The 18,976-nt window shown below is 46.2% G+C and overlaps 1 protein-coding gene across 12 annotated transcripts in view; it reads left to right on the top strand.

The window, feature by feature from the left end:
- CSMD2 (CUB and Sushi multiple domains 2) overlaps positions 1-18,976 on the top strand; it is a 651,845-nt gene that overhangs the window by 505,638 nt on the left and 127,231 nt on the right. For all 12 annotated transcript variants that reach the window (XM_047443685.1, XM_047443656.1, NM_052896.5 and 9 more), the window contains 3 exons: positions 2,068-2,259; positions 7,744-7,882; positions 13,370-13,557. In XM_047443685.1, the coding sequence (XP_047299641.1) occupies positions 2,068-2,259; positions 7,744-7,882; positions 13,370-13,557 (519 nt within the window). The remainder of the gene's footprint in view (positions 1-2,067; positions 2,260-7,743; positions 7,883-13,369; positions 13,558-18,976) is intronic.

Here is an 18,976-nt window from a genome sequence, read left to right as displayed (position 1 = left end):
TTGCAGATGTGGGCTCCGAGGCTTCTCATACAAGGTCATCTAGTTAATAGCAAAAACCATGTGTCTGTTTCTTAAACCTAAGCTGCTAATCATTGTACTCTATTGCCTCCCATATAAATAATCCTTCCAAGTATGGCCAGAACAATGAGCTATTTTTCTTCTAGGGGAACATTTACATGTGTACAGTGCCCTATAAAGCTAGAGATGAAAGCTAAGTCTGATTTTAACTGGGAAGGAAAAAGATTGATGCATATTTGACTTTACAAATAAGTTCAGTAGCTGTCAAATGTTGATATGTAAACAAATGAGTGTGCCTGTGTTCCAGTAAAACTTTATTTACAAAAATAGGCATAGGCCCAGATATGGCCGTGGGCCATAGTTTGCTGTATGCTTCCTTAGGTGTTATTGAGTAGAAGGTATCAGATTGTGTAACTCAAGACTCGTATACAATCCCAGAGGTTATAATTAGTGACATCAGTGTATACAGTTGCCCTAGGCTGCCGCTTCTCAAACTTTTCCGCTGATGTCCTCCTGATAGCAGAAGAGAATGGGTGTGCATCCTCAGGATGTCTGGTGGCTGTAGCAAGCACAAAATATCTTTAAGGCTTCACATTTTTGCTTAAAAACTAATATGAATTTTACCTTGTAATCCAGAATAAATTCTTTTGTTTTAGTATAAAAGTAGTTTTTCCTTAAATTGTTGAGAAAACTGATATTCCAATCAAATCAGTATTATTTATCCTGTGGTTTCAAGAACCTCCTTGCCCTAGAGTGCCCTGAGCACAGGCTATGAGGGATGACATAGCTGGGGACTGGGACCGGGCCCCGCTGTCAGCTCTGGGCTGTGGAGGCAGCCAGGGTTGTTCCAGCTCTTGAGATTCCTTTCTCTGGACTAACTCTTGCACCCATTCCTCCGGTGTGTTTTCTCATGCCACATTTGTTCATTTATTCACCCACTCATTCTCCTATTTATGTATTCCTTCCATCTAGCATTCATTCAGTATTCGCTTATAAAACACCTGCTCTATGTTAAACTAGGTTAGGTAATAGACACGAAGACGTCGCAAATTCCTGAGTATTTTGAATTTTTAATATATCTCAGCTATTTTTGAATTCTTCTCTGCCCACTTGCTACAAATATCTGACTTTTCTTCAAATATGGTTTCAGTCTAATGGATCCTTGGTTGTCTGCCATTGCAAGAGAGAGCATGATCTTGACCTAACTTCAGTAACTCCCGGTAACCTCACAACCACTGCTTAGCATTTAGGCAGGCCAACTCGCAAAGTCCTTTGCAAACCCTTCCAATTGAATACATGGAGTTTATTTGTTTGTTTGTTTTAGAGATGAGCTCTTACTCTGTCACCCACACTCGAGTGCAGTGACATGATCATGGCTCACTGCAGCCTTAACCTCCTGGGCTTAAAGGATCCTCCCACCTCAGCCTCCAGAGTAGCTAGAATAACAGGCAACTATCACCACACCCAGCTAATCTTTTTTATTTTTTTGTAGGGTCAGGGTCTTGCTGTGTTGCTCAGGCTGGTCTCGAGCTCCTGACCTCAAGTGACCTTCCTGCCTTGACCTCCCAAAGTGCTGGAATTATAGGCGTGAGCCACCATACCTGGCAGCATGGAGTTTAGACTTAATTATCTTGTCACTTCCTCCTTCTGATCATGTTAGTTACATTATACAAAATTGCAATGCTTTGTTTATGTAACAATGCTTGTATTCTTAAGCTGAATTCAATTCTATAATTATAACAGTATAATCATGCTTAACTCATAGCATCTCATGACAGGCAGATGACAGTAATGGTGAAGGTACTGGAAGAATGGTAGTGGTGATATCAGTGAGAGTGACAAGTGTGATCACAATTGGTGGTGGAGGCAGTGATAGTAATGGGAGTGAGAATAGTGGCACTGTGGCTACAGCTGATGATGATGATGGGGAGGTTCTGGTGGTTGTGGCAATGCACGGATGATGGCAATCAGTGAGGGTGATGAGCTGGGAGCCTCCTGAGTGGCAGACACCCAGGCGACCTTACCCTCTCTTCTATTTCCTTGCCCCAGTGTCCACAGCAACGTCCTGCAATGACCCTGGGATCCCGCAGAATGGGAGTCGGAGTGGTGACAGTTGGGAAGCCGGCGACTCCACAGTGTTCCAGTGTGACCCTGGCTACGCGCTGCAGGGAAGTGCAGAGATCAGCTGTGTGAAGATCGAGAACAGGTTCTTCTGGCAGCCCAGCCCGCCAACATGCATCGGTACAAAGCAGCTGCAGGGTGCACTCTGCTCTTGGGGCTCACAGTTGTGTGCTCCAGAACCTTCCATGCACAGCAGCTGCATCTTGGGCCTGGGGCCAAGAGAATTGAAACAGACAAAAGTTGCAGAAAACCCATTGTTTACCCTGCTTTGCATGCATGTGTCCCCACACGCACTCACTCACGTTCACACTCTATACACAGAGCACTACAAATTCCTCACTTGCTAAAATTGTCCCAGAGATTTCCAAGTCAGACAGGTCTGTCCCTTTCTCTCTGGCCCAGGCTGTACAGGTCAGAAGGAGGACAGTGGGTCATCTTGGGTAATAAAGGCTAACAGATTCCGAAATGACCCTTCTATTACCTGAAGCAATAGAAGGGCACCCACAGCCTCAGAATGTAAAGAAAAGAACCTTGCTTTTGCTGTTCTCAAGGAAATTATTGGTTACCTGGGTTTTGGTTCTTTTAGGTTTTAGAGATAGAGTCTCACTCTGTCGCCCAGACTGGAGTGCAGTGGCACCATCACAACTCACTGCAGCCTTGACCTCCTGAGCTCAAGTGATACTCCTACCTCAGCCTCCCAAGTAGCTGGGCTTGCAGGCCTGTGCCACCACACCCAGCAAATTTTTGTATTTTTGTTGTTGTTGTTGAGATGGAGTCTCACTATGTTGCTCAGGCTGGTCTGGAACTCCTGGGCTCAAGTGATCCTCCTGCCTTAACCTCCCAAAATGCTGGGATTACAGGTTTTGTTTCTTTAGATCTGTCCTCAGTCTTAAAACCTTCCTGTATGAGAGATGAAGACATGAAGGACCTGAGACTTGTCTAAGGTCCCATCACTTAAAAAGGGTGGGGCCTGAAAAATCCTGCCTCTAACTACTTGAGACTGAGAGGAGGAGGGAACTTGAAGGGAGGCTGGGATGGGAAAGAAAGGTAAATAGATAGAGACAAACCCTCCAGGTGCCCACTTCCACATGTCTATTTTGCTCAGGTGAAATAATGAGTGTTTATCTCCCCTGTCAATGCTGGCTGTTAGAAGAGAAGAGAACCCATGGTCACTGAGTCCTTACTGTGTACTTGCCCCATACTGGACATTTACTTAGATAACCTCATTTAACTTTCCCAACAGCTCTCTGAAATTAGCACCATTTCCTCATTTACACTTGAAACTGAAACTTAGACAAATTTGGATATCTTGTCCCAAATCACAGAGCTAGGATATGGCAGAGCCAAGATTTACACCCACGCCAGTCTGAATGCAAAGCCTCTCATTTTCCTACCTCCCACACTGCCTCCCCTGCTGGAGATGGGTGTAAGGGGCTTCCTGAGACAGCTCCTGCAGGAGCGTCTGCCCTGGCCTGCACCTCTCTCACTCAGGCTTAATGGGAGGCAGTACGCTGCCCAGGCCTCTGAGGACTGGCCTATGACAGTCATGGCTCTGAGGCCTGGCCCTGAAGTTGACACACTAAATCCTGCTCCTCAGTGGGAATTAGGAGCCGCATAGGTATGTGGGGCAGGAGGTTGAGACCTGGGTTTCAGATCCAGCTGAGTTCTTCACTACGTATTCTGCTGTGTAGGGAACAGTATGGGATACTGAAGTAGACACATCCAGATTTACTTTCTAGCTCTGCCATTTACTACTTTGGTGACCTTGGGAAATTACTTCAACTCTCTGAGCCTGAGTTTCCTTATCTCTGAGGGTAAATACACTTCCCTTATGGCATTGTGGGGTGAGGACACGCCTAACCCCAATCTCAAGAAATACTAATTTCCTTCCTTTCTATCTTCCTTCCTTCCTTCTTTTCATCCTTCCCTTCTTCGATTCCTTCTTTCAAGTCTTCAGACTCCCTTCCCCTTCCCTAAGCCAGAATTCCATCTGCTCAAGGGAATTCTGTTGAGGCCCAGGAGAGAATCTGGGAACCTCTGAGGCTCCTTCCAAATTCAGCCTTCTGCAAGGCTGTGATTCCTTAGACTTATTTTACAGAAAAGCAGGTCCTGAGATGAGATTGTCCCAAGTGGAGAAGGAGGATTGTGCTAAGCTGAGGAGAGCAATAAATGTGCAGTGGGTAGGGTGGAGAGGTTAATTCAGTTTTCATCACCCGTTCTTCTACACTCGGCTTTGGGAAATGTTCCTCAGGCAACAGAATAAATGCCTTTGCCTCTTCTCTCAAATGAACTGGAAATCCCAGTGACATGCTTCTGATTTCCAGCTCCCTGGGCGTTCTGCCATGAGCGGGTCTAGCTGGCCCTGATAACCCTTCATTACAGGGAGGAAGCAAAGGAAGAAAACAAATACTCATTGGATGCTGTCCCCGTGATAGGCACCGGGCTAAACATTTTAGCTACATTATTGCAGCTGAAATCACTCTGTGGTGAGGTTAGAGCTCGGGATTCCACTCCCTGGCTCAGGTCTGCCTTCACCACAGCAAGCTGTGTGGCCTTAGACAAATTGCCCAACTTCCCTGTGCCTTAATTTCCTCACCAGTAAAATAGTGAAAATGGTAGTACTTACCATCTAGCATTGTTTTGAGGATTAAAAAAGAAAATACTATAAAGCAATAAGAACTGTGCCTGGCTCATAGTTAGCACTGTGTATGTTAGAAGCCATTATCATCATTATTCTTTTACTTTCGAGATGAGGAAATAGAGGCTCAGAGGGGTGGACAGCTGGCCCAAACTCACACAGCCAATGAGTGGCATTGTCAGAATTTGTGCTCAGGATTGTATGACTTCCAAATCAATGCCCTTTCCACAACTCTCACCCTCAGTCCAACCTGCCCACTTCTTGGCTGTCTAGAAGGATCTGCAGCTTGCACCCACTCCCATCTGGGCAACCATGGTTTAGTAAGCTCAAAAGGACCCCTCGACTAACCCTGAGCAGTAGGAGCCTTCCTGTTGGCGAGGCAGCCCAGGGATCCAAGCAAGGCCTTGGGGCACAACTGGCAGCAGCCAGGGAAGCCCATGCCCGATGCCATGGAACTATCTAGAAGAGATCTGTGCCCAGACAGCAGCCTAGAACCCAGAGACACTGATAGTACTTTGGGGGTTGGTGGGAGAGTAACAGGGGCAGTTTCAGAAACACAGAGACTCACCCCATCTGTGGCAAACTTAAGGGAAGAAGCCCCTGAGCTGGCAAAGGGACGTGGAGGCTGGGAACCAGAATGGAGGCCTCGTTGTGCCCCCTTGGGAAGATTTCCCCAGAGTTGGGACTTCTGATATGACACTGGCTTTCCACTCTCACTGGCCACATCAGACTCTGTTTCTAGGCTGGCCTGGGCAAGGCCACGCTCCATGGACTGGACATTACAGTCTTGCTTTGTTAAGCTCAAGGGTCTAGACTGATTGTACTGGCCTCTGCTTGGCCCCACTTATCTAGCCCTCTGCTCCTGAAGGATTCAGTGGTGGAGACACAAGTGAGACATAAGCAGACCCAACTTAAGGCACCACCTCGCTCAGAAGCTCCTGCAACAACTGTGCTCTCCCTGCTGGCCAGCGGGGAGAAGCACGCCTCCTCTACTCTGGCTACTGCTACCGACTGTATGGAAGTAGAAAGGGGGAAAACAACAGACTTTGGAGCCAGTCCCATGTGAGTTTGAGTCTCAGAGTGACTCTGGGCAAGTTACTTAGGCTTTCTGAGACTCACTTTCCTCCTTTATAAATCAGGAAGAATAATCCATTGCTCATTGAGTTGTTAATGAGACATAAATGAGATAGTGTATCTAAAATGTGATTTGTTAAGTCTAATACGTAATAGATGCCTATTTGAGTGTTTCTGATACTCAGGATGGTTCTTGGGATATATTTTCCCATGGAACAAAAAGCAGACTACTCATGACCACTCGGATTTTATGTTCAGCCACATTAGGGCTCTTATGGCCTGACCTGAAGACCTACCATTTGTTTGAGACCCTGTTAGGGATTGACCCAGCCCTTTAAGCCTCACCCTGAGTAAAAGCCACAGCCAGAGGTGGCTCCATGACACAGCTAAAGTACCAGTGCTCAGCTCTATGACAAGCCAAAGGCTGCTCCTAACTTTGGAGTCAGGTATACCCTTTTGCTCCCCCCACAAAGACTCATCTTGGATTTTCTAGCCAGCCCTTAAATGGCTCTCTGTGTTCCTGTGGGCTCAGTGTTGACAACCTCTGATGGTGCCCTGTGGTTTCCAGACCAAACCATACCTATAGTCTTGGCCATCCTGCTAACGACCCCACACGCTTCCCAGCTCTTACTCTATCCAGTCCTCATGCCACGGTACAGCAGCCCCAGCCATGGAGGAAGAGACCTGATCCAGGCTCTGGGGAAGCTGCCCCAGAAGGTCCCTAGGTAAATAGGTTGCTGTGTCACCTGGCCACTTTCTCCCTCCCCACCTGCTTGAGAGACCTGTCATCTCAGGGGAGGGCGACCACGTAGACTGATTGGGGATTAATAATAGCTCCATACAACTGAGGTACACACATACTCTTGGACAAGGCCTTTTGGAAAGTTGGAAAGTATCTGCAGCCGCGAGCAGATGCCAGGAGCACTGGCAGCGTAGGAGACCAGCTGCGCTTGGCAGGCGAATGTGAGCCTGTTTCCCACTCCTCCTGACATTGAGTGCACGGGAACTCACAGTCAGTACCCACAAAGCTTGCCGGGAAGCCGATGTGAGGCAGTGAAGGAAGGCCATGTACTTCATAGGTGTACAGACAGTGCCGGCTCCGTCTATCAACCATTCACTCTCTACCAAATACTTCAGCAGACATCTCCAATAATCTTTACAACCACCCCACAGAGAAGATATTGTCTCTTTTTATGATACGGGAGAGACATCGAGGGCTAGAGAGGCTAGATGAGTTCCCTGAGTTCACACAGCTAGGAAGTAGCAGGGTCAGGTATTTTTAAAGAATAATTTATTAGGCCGGGCGCGGTGGCTCACGCCTGAAATCCTGTGACTTTGGAAGGCTGAGATGGGTGGATCACAAGGTCAGGAGATCAAGACCATCCTGGCTAATACAGTGAAACCCTGTATCTACTAAAAATACAAAAAAAAATTAGGTGGGCATGGTGGCGGGCGCCTGTAGTCCCAGCTGCTTGGGAGGCTGAGGCAGGAGAATGGTGTGAACCTGGGAGGCGGAGCTTGCAGTGAGCCGAGATCGCGCTACTGCAATCCAGCCTGGGGCTGGGGGACAGAGCGAGACTCCGTCTCAAAAAATAATAATAATAATTTATTGAGGTGAAATGCACCTAACATAAAATTACCTGTTTTTCAATGAACAGTTCAGTGGCATCTGGTACTTTCGAAATGTTGCGCAACCACCACCACTATCTCTGAAATATTCCCACCCTCCAAAGTAGAAGTCCATCATTTCACCTTCTCCTGAGTCCCTAAGCCAGGTTCAACTTCAGCCTGTCAGCCTCAGCCTCTCCTCTCTCAATAGTGCATTAGCAACACCCATGAAAATGAGCCCAGGGTGAAGAGGCAGCCTCACCCTCGTCTTCTTCTCTCCTCAGCTCCCTGCGGGGGAGACCTGACAGGACCATCTGGAGTCATCCTCTCACCAAATTACCCAGAACCCTACCCGCCAGGCAAGGAGTGTGACTGGAAAGTGACCGTCTCACCAGACTACGTCATCGCCCTGGTATTTAACATGTATGTACCTTTCCCCCGGGTGGGAGACGAAGGGTTCAGAGTGGCTAGGGGCTCTGGGACCTGGGTCTCCAGGTGAGTATTCACAGGTCTGTAGCAGAGTTCTCAGCTCCAGGGAGGTGAAGAAGCCGAGAGAGAGAGAAACTAGCATTTATTGAACATCTACGTGCCAAGCACTGTGCTCAGTGGTCTCATGCATATCATCACATCTAATCCTTGTAGTAATTTGTGAGGAAGCAATTATTATTTCCTCTCTACCTCTGAAGATACTGGGACCTGGAAAGGAGGCCTTTGTTGGATGCCCTTGCCCTGCCCTCTGCATTCCCAGTCTGCTTCCCCGGCCCCTTCCACCCCACTCCAGAGGTATAAACAGGCGGGCTTGGGTCCCAGGCACCCCCCCCAATCTAGCTCCTGCACTTGCTTTTCCATTCCTGCTACAGAAAAGCTCTTCAAAAGAACTGCCTCTGCCTTTCTCTACTTCCTCACCTCCCGTTCACTCTCAACCCCCTGGAACCTGGTTTCTGCCTCCATGGTTCTACTGGAAACTCCTCTGATAAAAGCCACCCACGAACTCCTGGTTCCAAACAAAATGGGCCTTTCTGTGTTTTATCCACTCCACCTCTTGATCACCCTTTCCATCCTTAGACTGCTTTTTCCCTTGGTTTGTGTGAAGTTACTCTTCCCAGTTCTCCAAGCTCTTCTGTGACTTCACGTGGACCTCTTGTTAAACCATCTTCTTTTGCCGGGCTTTGTCAAAACCTCCTCTTCTTCCCCTACACCCCTTTCCTGGACAAGTTCGGTCATTCCTGTCTCCACTCTCCTCTTATAAGTGGAAGACTCCATTCTGCTGCCCACCCTGGCTTTATTCTGAGCGTCAGCATCGCTATCCAGATGTTGGGCATCTCTGTCTGGGGCCTGCAGACACTGCAAATGAGCATGTACAAAATCAAGCATATTTTTTCTCCCCCAGAAGAGCTCTGTTCTGAGCCTTGGGGCTGGCATTGACACCTGCTCTCACGGCTTCTTCCACTAGCAGCAACCAAGGCATGCAGCCTCTATCGCCTTCACTCTCCTCATGTATTTCCTCTTCTCCATCCTCCTAGCTCCTGTCCTGGTTTAAGTCCTATCATTTCCCATCTAAATTACTGCCCTCATCTCCTAGCTGGTTCCTCTGCCCCATCTTGCCTCCCATGCCGATCTCTCCCTTAGCTAGCTGTCAGAGTGATCGTGTCACTCAAAAATGCTGAAATAACCACCCTACTTTCCATTTTAACATCCTCTAATGACAGTGCTCAGCAATAAAAAAGAATGAACTACTGATACATGCAACAACGTGGATGAGTCCCAAAAATATTATGCTGAGTGAAAGAAGACAGACATAAAAAAGTACATAATGTATGATTCAACTCCTATAAAATTGTAGGATCAGCAAAACTAATCCCTGGTGAAGAATTCTAATCAGTGTTGGCATCTGAGGGTAGGGAAGGTTGAATGGGAAGGGGCATTTGGAACTCTCTGGGGTGGTGGGACAGTTCTGGGTCTTGATATGCATGTGTCAAAACTGATAGAGTGGCACACCTTAGGGCTGATCATTTCACACGGTGTAAATCATACCTCAATTCAAAAACAAAGAAACAAACAAATAGATCCTTTATTTTTAAATCCTATCATGGCCCTCTATTGCTTATAATAAAGGCCCAAACTTTGGAGTTTCATTCCAAACAATCTGGTGCTTGCCTACCTCTCCAGTCAGCCCCCCACCCCATCCTAAGCCCACCCCATCCTAAGCCCTAAGCTCCAGCCAGATGGAACTCCTTGCAGTTTCAGGGCCTCACGGATTCTTTCATGCCCTTATGACTTTGCCTCTGTTTCTGCCTTCACAGCAACTTCCTGTTCCCTCCTTGTCCTATCTGTAAGGGTCTTCTCATCTCCCAAGACTCAGTTCAGGCTTGATTTCCTCCATAAATGTTTGATTTTTCATCCTCCCCAAGGAACCTTGCTTTGTGTTTCTGCTCTGCCTCGGGCTGACTTCATACATTATTTTGTTGTTGATATATCTGTCACTTCCTACAGCACCATCAATTTTTGAAGGCAGAAGTGGTGTCTTACATGTCCCCATGTCCTTGGCACCTTGCACAGTGCCTGGAATATCGAGGGTGCTCAAAATTTGATGATGGAAGGGAGAGACAGAAAGAAGGCAGTTAGTTAGGAAGTGGTGATGCCATCATTTGTGACCAAGACTCACTCCCTCCGAAACCCTTCGCCGGTGACTTTCAAAAGAGCAGATGTCAAGAAGCTGAATTACAGGGGCAAGAAGACCGTGTCACCCAGCCATGGTGTGTTGACCCCGCAACTGACACCAGTGTGACAAGGTGCCAGGTGGGAAGGAGGCCAGTGCGCATCTGGCTCTGTGCCCCGTGCCTCCCAGTCCCCCATCCTGTCTCTTAGCCAGCCTTATCTCCTTTGTCCTAGAGATGTATGACCTCCTCCCCCTGCTATATATCTTAGCCAAAAGGTAGAACAGTCATTTTACTCTCAATCTCAAATAGAGTACAGTAAGTCCTCAGTATCATCAACAGGTTCTTGGAAACTGTTGACTTTAAGTAAAACAAAGTATAGCAGGTCTTCAAATGTTTCCTTCAATGTCATTTCATTATATTGTTTTTGTTTTGTTTTGTTTCTGAGACAAAGTTTCATTCTGTCACCCAGGCTGGAGTACAGTGGCACAATCTTGGCTCACTGCAACCCTTCCTTCCTGAGTTTAAGCAATTCTCATGCCTCAGCCTCCCGAGTAGCTGGGATTACAGGTGCATGCCACCACACCCAGCTAATTTTTGTATTTTTAGTAGAGACAGGGTTTCGCCATTTTGGCCAGGCTGGTCTCAAACTCCTGGCCTCAAGTGACCTGCCCACCTTGGCCTCCCAAAGTGCTGAGATTACAGACATGAGCCACTGTGCCCAGCCTGTATGTTGATGAGAAATAAACAATTGGTTTTGTTATATGTCATTTCACTTAAAGTCATGGTTTCTGAGAGCCTGTGGACAATGCTGAGGACTTGCTGTATCTGAGTATCCCAGACCATGGCTGGGCAGGAGCAAATTTGCATCTGAAATCTATTCTCTGCAAGCTCATTTACTTTTCTATTGTTTTCATCTTTGCACACTTGATTGGTATCAATTGCCTTTGTTAGATATATACTTAAGAGTGGAATTGCTGCACCAGAGCACAGGCATACAGGGGGGACTTCAAAAAGTTTGTGGAAAAATTGAATTTAAGATGAAAATAAAAAATATAAACTTTATTACTCAACATAAACTCCATCAAGTTCAAGACACTTTTGTAACCAACTATTCCAGTCATTTTGTCCATCCCTAAAGAACAGAGGGTCCTGGTAATTTAACCATGTCAATGTAGTCTTTTTTACTTTATTAACGGAAGAAAAAATGGGTGCTCTTTAAAGATTTTTTTAAGATTAGAAAACAAAAAGCAATAAGAAGGAGCCAAATCAGGACTGTAAAGTGGATGCCTAATGATTTCCCATTGAAACTCTTGAAAAATTACCCTTGTTGGATGAGAGAAATGATCAGGAGCATTGTTGTCGGGCAGAAGGAGTCTCTCTCGAAGCTTTCCAGGCACTTTACTGCTAAAGCTTTAGCTAACTTTCTCAAAACAAACTCCTAAGAAGCAGATGTTATCATTCTTTGGCCCTTCAGAAAATCAACCACAAAATGTCTGGAGCATCCATAAAAAAGAAAAAAACCCATTACCTTGACCTTTGCTCCACTTTTGCTTTGACTGTACACTTCCATTCCCTGGTAGCCATTGCTTTGATTGTGCTTTGTCTTCCGGATTGTACTGGTAAATCCATGTTCCATCTCCTGTTCTTGGGAGAAATGTTTCAGGATCTTGATCCCACATTTTTTAAATTTCCACTGAAAGCTCTGCTTTTTTTTTTTTTTTTTTGAGACAGAGTCTCGCTCTGTCACCCAGACTGGAGTACAGTGGCACAATCTCTGCTGACTGCAAACTCCACCTCCCGGGTTCATGCCATTCTCCTGCCTCAGCTTCCTGAGTAGTTGGGACTACAGGTGCCCACCACCACGCCTGGCTAATTTTTTGTATTTTTAGTAGAGACGGGGTTTCACCGTGTTAGTCAGGATGGTCTCGATCTCCGGACCTTGTGATCCGCCCACCTCAGCCTCCCAAAGTGCTGGGATTACAGGCATGAGCCACCATGCCCGGCCAAAAGCCCTGCTTTTGTCTGCAGCTGATCTAGGCACAATGGTTTTGACACCCATCAAGTAGAAAGTTTGATCAACCTTAATTTTTTAGTCAAAATTGTGTAATCTGAACCAGTCGAGATGTCTATGGTGTTGGCTTTCGTTAGTGCTATTAATCATTGGTCCTATTCAATTAGGACACAAACAAGATTAATTTTTTTCCTCTCCAACTGATGTGGAGGTCCGCCTTGGCAGGCTTCATCTTCATTATCATCCCCTCCCTTCGTGAAACAAGTTATCCATTTGTAAACTGCTGATTTCTTTGGGTCATTGTCCCCATAAACTTTTTGTAAAGCATCAGTGATGTCACCATTCTTCTACCCAAGCTTCACCATAAATTTAATGTTTTTCCTTGCTTCAATTTTAGCAGAATTCATGTTGCTCTGATAGAGGCTTTTTTCAAGCTGATATCTTGTCCTTCTTAATGCCTCACATTAGATCCTGTGCAGACATGTTATAACAAGTTAGTGTGAGTTTATTTTGGTGCAAAAAACTTTTGAACTCCATGCATAATTTTTTCGTAATATGCATTTTCCATCATTTTCACTCGAGCCATTCCAGTGGGATAAATTACATTCATGAACTCTAATATTCAATTTGCTCAACTAAGTTTTTAAAATGGATTTTTCTCTCATACCAGGGTCAGAATAGCTAAGGGTTAGGACATTTGTGGGTGCTAGGCGTGGGGCAATAGCAGACCCTGAGGAGAGCTGGAGCACTGGCTTGGGATGAAGGCACAAAGCTAGGGTCCTTCATGGTAACAGGTCCCTTCCTCCCTGAGAATGGCACCATAGTTGGCTCATTCTCTCTTAGAAAATGAGGTTCAGAAGAGCACAGTATAAGGACATTAGTGTCAGGTAAGAGAGTTGGGTTTTGGACCTACTTTGGTTGACAGCTTGGTGTCCAGAGTTGGCAACTCATTTTCCCTTCTGTATAAGGAGGACGTTAGGTTTTCAGCTCCAGATTTTTAGACACTGACTGGAATCTGACTCCTCTGCCCCTGAGCCTGCCTCTTCCATCTTCTCACCTGACTGAGGTCATCAGGGCCTCATCTTCTCCCTTCCCACCAGCCAGTCTTCAGGGGTTGGGTACCAGTGGGATGGTGGGCTTGCTCCCTGGGAGGCCCTATGCTTTGGTTGAGCCTAAGACCCCGGCAAAAGCCTTTATTTGACCTTAGTGGGGTGGGGGTGGGATGTTTTTGTTCCCCAGCTTTAACCTGGAGCCTGGCTATGACTTCCTCCATATCTACGACGGACGGGACTCTCTCAGCCCTCTCATAGGAAGCTTCTATGGCTCCCAGCTCCCAGGCCGCATTGAAAGCAGCAGCAACAGCCTCTTCCTCGCCTTCCGCAGCGATGCATCTGTGAGCAATGCTGGCTTCGTCATTGACTATACAGGTAAGGGCCCTGGTGCCAGAGAGTACTGAGGACAGGTCCAGCTAACAAGGCAGAGGGCAAGTAGTGTAGCGTAGTGAGGAGAGCCCTGGGCTGGACCACAGCAAGCCCACACCAACCCTAGCACTGCTGCCGCCTGCAGAAACCTGCCTTTCCTGCGGCCCCCATCTGGGCTTAGTCTTTCACCCCTATATTCTCCAGGGGTGGGAAAAAAGGGAACCAGCATTCTTTTTGCACCTCATCTATTTCCAACCACTAGTCCTCTTCTCTTTTTCTATGAGGGTCATTCCTAACTCTATTTCAACCTCATAGCTATCAGCTGGTATCTTCCTTCACTCCACTTCACTAAAGAGGATTCTGATATGAGGCACAATCTTCCTCTCCACTCAGAGCTTCTCACCATCCTGGGTAACTTCAACATCCCTATGGACAGCCCATCTAATCCTAGGGTCATGGTGCTTAGACCTCTGTCCCAAGGACACTCCTTGGCCACACTCTGACACCTCGTCATAGACTGGTCACTTTCTGATACCTCCTGATCACATTTGCTCATCCTTCCAGCTGTGCTAATTAAGGCAAGTTCAGTAGTGTTGTGGTAGAGAGCAAGAGTCAACAATTTTTCCCCTAAAAATAGTAAATATTGTAGGTTTACCTATCACAACTACTCAGCCCTACTACTGTAGTGCTAAAGCAGCCACAGACAAAACAGAAAGAAATGGGCGTGGCTGCATTTGAAGAAAAATTCACTTACAAAAACAGGCTGTCCCTGCCCAGTTAAGAGCATTGACTGTCAAATTAATTGGATTGAAAGTTCATGTTTATGACTTAACATTTGCGTGACCTTGGATAAAGCATTGAACCTCTTGAAGCCTCCATTTCTTCCTTTATAAAACGATGGTAGGAAAATTCCTGCTTCATAGAAATGTAAAGATCAGTGAGTCCACACATGAAAGTCCTTGGTACAGTGCCTGGCACATATCATGCATTCTGTAATGTTCAAGTATCATTAGTAGTAGTAAGAGGAGTTCCAGGCTCTCGAGCACTCCACTGTCTTCTACGCTATTATCTCTTTTTGACCTTTTAGTCTTCCCTAATTATCCCAAATCCCATTATCTAAATCCCAGCTCCCTTCCTTGCTTGATTTGTGAGCTTGACAAGTATTATCTCTTGGAACATCATCTACAAATTGTTGCTAGTAATAATTATGTTGCAGGAGGTTAAGATTAAAAGATATTTTATACATGCATATTTTATATATGTGTGTGTGTGTGTGTGTGTGTGTGTGTGTGTGTGTGTGTGTGTGTGTATAATGCTCCATATGTACTAAACACTCTACAGATGCTCTGGGAATGATAGATTTTGTTATTGTTACTATAACCCGGGTTCACCCAGGCCTCATCAGCCTGAGCATACAAATGGGGTCGCATTACCAGCTAAAATTAAAAATTTTCTGGCTCATGTTCCCCACTTGCATAACATAAGACCTCAGATACCTTTTAAAGTGTCCCCTAATTAAATATTTCCGGCCACCCCTGGGAATATCTCACATGAGCTCACACATAACACTAATTAGAACAATGGCAAACTTAGTGTTTTCCCACTGCCAGCACCAGCCTAAGTGCTCTATATCCATCAACTCATTGGACTCCTCATAGTTCTTGATTATCTCCTGTTTGTCGGGTACAGTTCTAGAAGACTGGTGTGCAAAATGGAGAATGTTTTACTTGTAGTCTTCTTGCCTCACGGGGCTGGCCTAGGCAATGGATATTCTGCCATCCTTTCTTCCTCCAGGCACCTGCCATTTGGTAAACCTCCTGGGCCCAAACCCTCTTCCACACACTGATATCAGCACAGTCAGACACTTTGGAATTCTAACAAACAGAAGCCACAACTTAGACCCAGTCTGGGACCTCCATTGCTCCCACCACCACCATCCCCACTGCCATATCATCACCATTTCTTATTATTCATCTCTTCCTTCATATTCTCATCAGTACCCTCAATTGTCCTGCCCGCTAGTCCTCCAAGTGCATAAACCTTGCAAAACTGTACCCTTTGTTGAACCCACACCCACACAGCTGAGGACACCCAGACAAAGCTGCACAAACGTGATACTTAGAGTCACTACGAGTGATGTCCTTTCCCCCAGCCAAGCCTTAGCAACCACCAGAGCTGCCTCCGACTTGACCCAACTGAGTTCTTCTTGGCAGAGATTCCAAAATTCACCCCAAATGTCACCCCGTCAGCCTCATTTTTTATAAGATGATTTCATTTCAGCTTCCCTGGATACAGTAAGCTATTGGGTAGAAACCCCCTGAGCTTCCTCTCCAGTCACCTTGTTCATGCCTACCTGCCTGTGGCCATCTCTCCCCCAGGTCTTCTCCAAGGAAATTCATGGTCCGAGAGCCATACTTTCAAAACCTCTTTCCCAGTGAAGTTCTTTCCACTTTTGCCTGTTGACCCAAGGTGGGTATCTAGAGGGGTCTTTAGGTCTAAACCATAACCCGGGGAATAAGACCTCCCCAGCTGCCATCGGAGCCAGCCAAGCAGCCAATTACTGGAGAGAGGGGAGAAGAGAGGCACATCCTACAGACGTATCCCCCATCACCCTATTAGGATCTGTAGTGCAAGTACCAAGATAAAGATAACTATGTGTGTTTGAGGGGTAGGGGGTGCCTGTTGGAAGCCTCAAGCATCCTTCATTATTTCATTTGTTCCTTCCTTCCTTCCTTCCTTCCTTCCTTCCTTCCTTCCTTCCTTCATTCCCAGACTACACACCTCCTAATATTAGTCACCCTCTACTATCTCCCTGGGCCTCTGGTCTAGTAGCCCATTTGGTGGAACCTAGGGACCCCTACCTTACCCTCTGGTCTGCTTCTGCCTATGCCAGGATCCCTGGATTCCTGGAATGGGTCTACTTTGCTATCAGGTCCCATGGCTTTGAGGATATTTTCCCATGTACACTATCTTTCTTTATAGGGTAGGCTCCATCACTTCATAACTGTATGCCCTGAAACAAGTTGCCTAACTCCTCTGAGCATTGCTTCCTCATCCATGAAAAAGGGACAGTGACACTAAACGAAGGAGTTGTTGTGAGGATTAGCACATAGGCACAGCATCAAGCAGAGTGCCCAGTGCCAATAAGTATTTGATATGTACTTTGATCCACCCACTTTCATCCCACCTCCTTTTTCCTACGTCACTGGTATTGCATTTGTTGTGCCTTTGTTTGGAAGGGAGAATGGGGCTAACCCAGGGGAACACGGTACATGTTCTTTTCTGTTTACTGAAGATGTAAAGTGTGAGCATAATGTTTTGCACATGTAATAAGTGTGGGATATTTATAACATGAATATTTGTGATAGACGTATGTGTCCCATATGCTTTGCCAGCCCATAGCAAAGAATTTAGACATTCCACACCCTGTAAGTCTGGAGAGAACCATAGATGGAGAGGCAGCCCACTGAGGACCTCCACAGGGAGGCAGGGCTGGGTCCTCAGGAAAAGCAGAATTGGCCTCTGCATCCAGGAAGCATCTGTGTCCATGTCTTTTAGAGAGATCCAGGGCTCTGCTAAAACTGAGAGTCTGGGTATCCTGGGAGCTGTGGCTTCAGGGGTCTTGCTTAGGGAGGTGAAAGGGGCCTACGAGCGCCCCACATAGAGAGATGTTGCTGGACTCAGTTGGGCTCAGCACAGGGGAAATTACTCTCTGAGATTAACCCTTCCCCTGACCCAAGGCAGAGAGACCAGGAGCCTTTCTCCACACACAGCTTCCCAAGTGAGAAGCAGAAACAGTTTGGTAGAATCTTAGGAAATATCAAAAAACCACTCAGAGCAACTTAAGCAAACAAAGGGGTAACTTATTATAAAAACACAAGAAACAGAAACCCACTCAAAACAATCTGACACAAAAAGGAGACATGATTATGAGAAAACAACTAACAGCCTAAGTAACTTAAGCTAAAAGGTTTCTATATTTTAACAATACAGATAACAATAACTCTGACACAAAAAAGCAAAATACTTTTAGAATACAAGAGCCCAAGGGCAGAAAGCATAAACTCCCAAAGGACTGGAATCAGGATGGCAGAGGCACAGACTGAGACCATCATCCGCACTCCAGAATCGTTCTCTCTCCTCCCTGCCTCCTTCTGAGCACTTGCTACATTCTCCCCTCCCTGCAGATCAATTTTCCTTGCTTTTCCATTCTCCTGGGATAAATGTGGCTGTCTCACTCCTGACTTTTTTTGTTTGTTTGTTTGTTTGTTGTTGTTGTTTTCTTTCCTTTTTTTTTTTTTTTTTTTGAGACAGAGTGTCACTCTGTCACCCAGGCTGGAGTGCAGTGGCGCAATCTCAGCTCACTGCAACCTCCACCTCCCAGGTTCAAGTGATTCGCTTGCCTTAGCCTCCTGAGTAGCTGGGATTACAGGCATGCATCACCACACCCGGCTAGTTTTTGTATTTTTAGTAGAGATGGGGTTTCGCCATGTTGGCCAAGCTGGTTTTGAACTCCTGACCTCCAGTGATCCACCCACCTTGGCCTCCCAAAGTGTGATACAGGGTGTGAGCCACCGTGCCCAGATCACTCTTGGCTTTGAATCACTTCCCAGTTTAGATTCCAGTTTCAGATCCCAAAGGATCATCTGAGGGAACAGGCTTAATTCAAGTGTCCACTGAGCAGCATCATGGGATTAGGCTTTTGCAGAAGGGGCAAGAGCAGGTCAGGCATTTTTATTTATTTATTCATTCGGTAAATACGAATTGAGCAGCTACCATATGCCAGACCTTCTTACAGGGGCTGAGAACAGACCAGAAAACCAAACAAAGTCTCTGCCTCCATGGAGTTCACATCCTCGTGACAACTAGACCGACGGACCCTTCTGTAGATGAGATGTTGGAAGCCCACCTGGTTCTAAGGCAAAGAGGGGTGGGTTTTTAGATGTCTCTGTTCAGTTGCTTCTGAAGGGTGACTGTAGTGTCTTAGTCATCTCTGGGCAGACTTTCTAGGAGATGATTCTGAATGCAGTCATGTCATCTGTGGATTTCTATTAGACCATTGATCAGAGGCACTTCTATTCTGAATTCATCCTCCTGGGTGGCTTTACCCTTTGCTAAAAGGAAACAAAGAACAGCAGGGATCCTGTGTTTTGGATACAGTTACCAAAATGGAGTCACAGGGAGGTTTATGTCTTTCTCCAGGCCACGGATATCAACAGAACCAGTGGGGTGGAAGGACCTTTATTCTCATATACCAGCATGTGTGGCAGCCTTTTCCTAGGCAGGAATGTGCTGAAACATCCACGCACATGCAAGACATATTCATTCATTCAACAAATGCTTGATGACTCCTACTTCATGCCATGCCCTCTGCTGGGTGTTGAGAATACAGCAGGGAGCAAAGTAATCATCATCCCTACCCTAA

The sequence above is a fragment of the Homo sapiens genome, chromosome 1, assembly GCF_000001405.40.
Source record: "Homo sapiens chromosome 1, GRCh38.p14 Primary Assembly".
Taxonomy (NCBI): domain Eukaryota; kingdom Metazoa; phylum Chordata; class Mammalia; order Primates; family Hominidae; genus Homo; species Homo sapiens.
The sequence above is the reverse complement of the archived record's forward strand: the minus strand, read 5'-3'. Positions and strand labels throughout refer to the sequence as shown.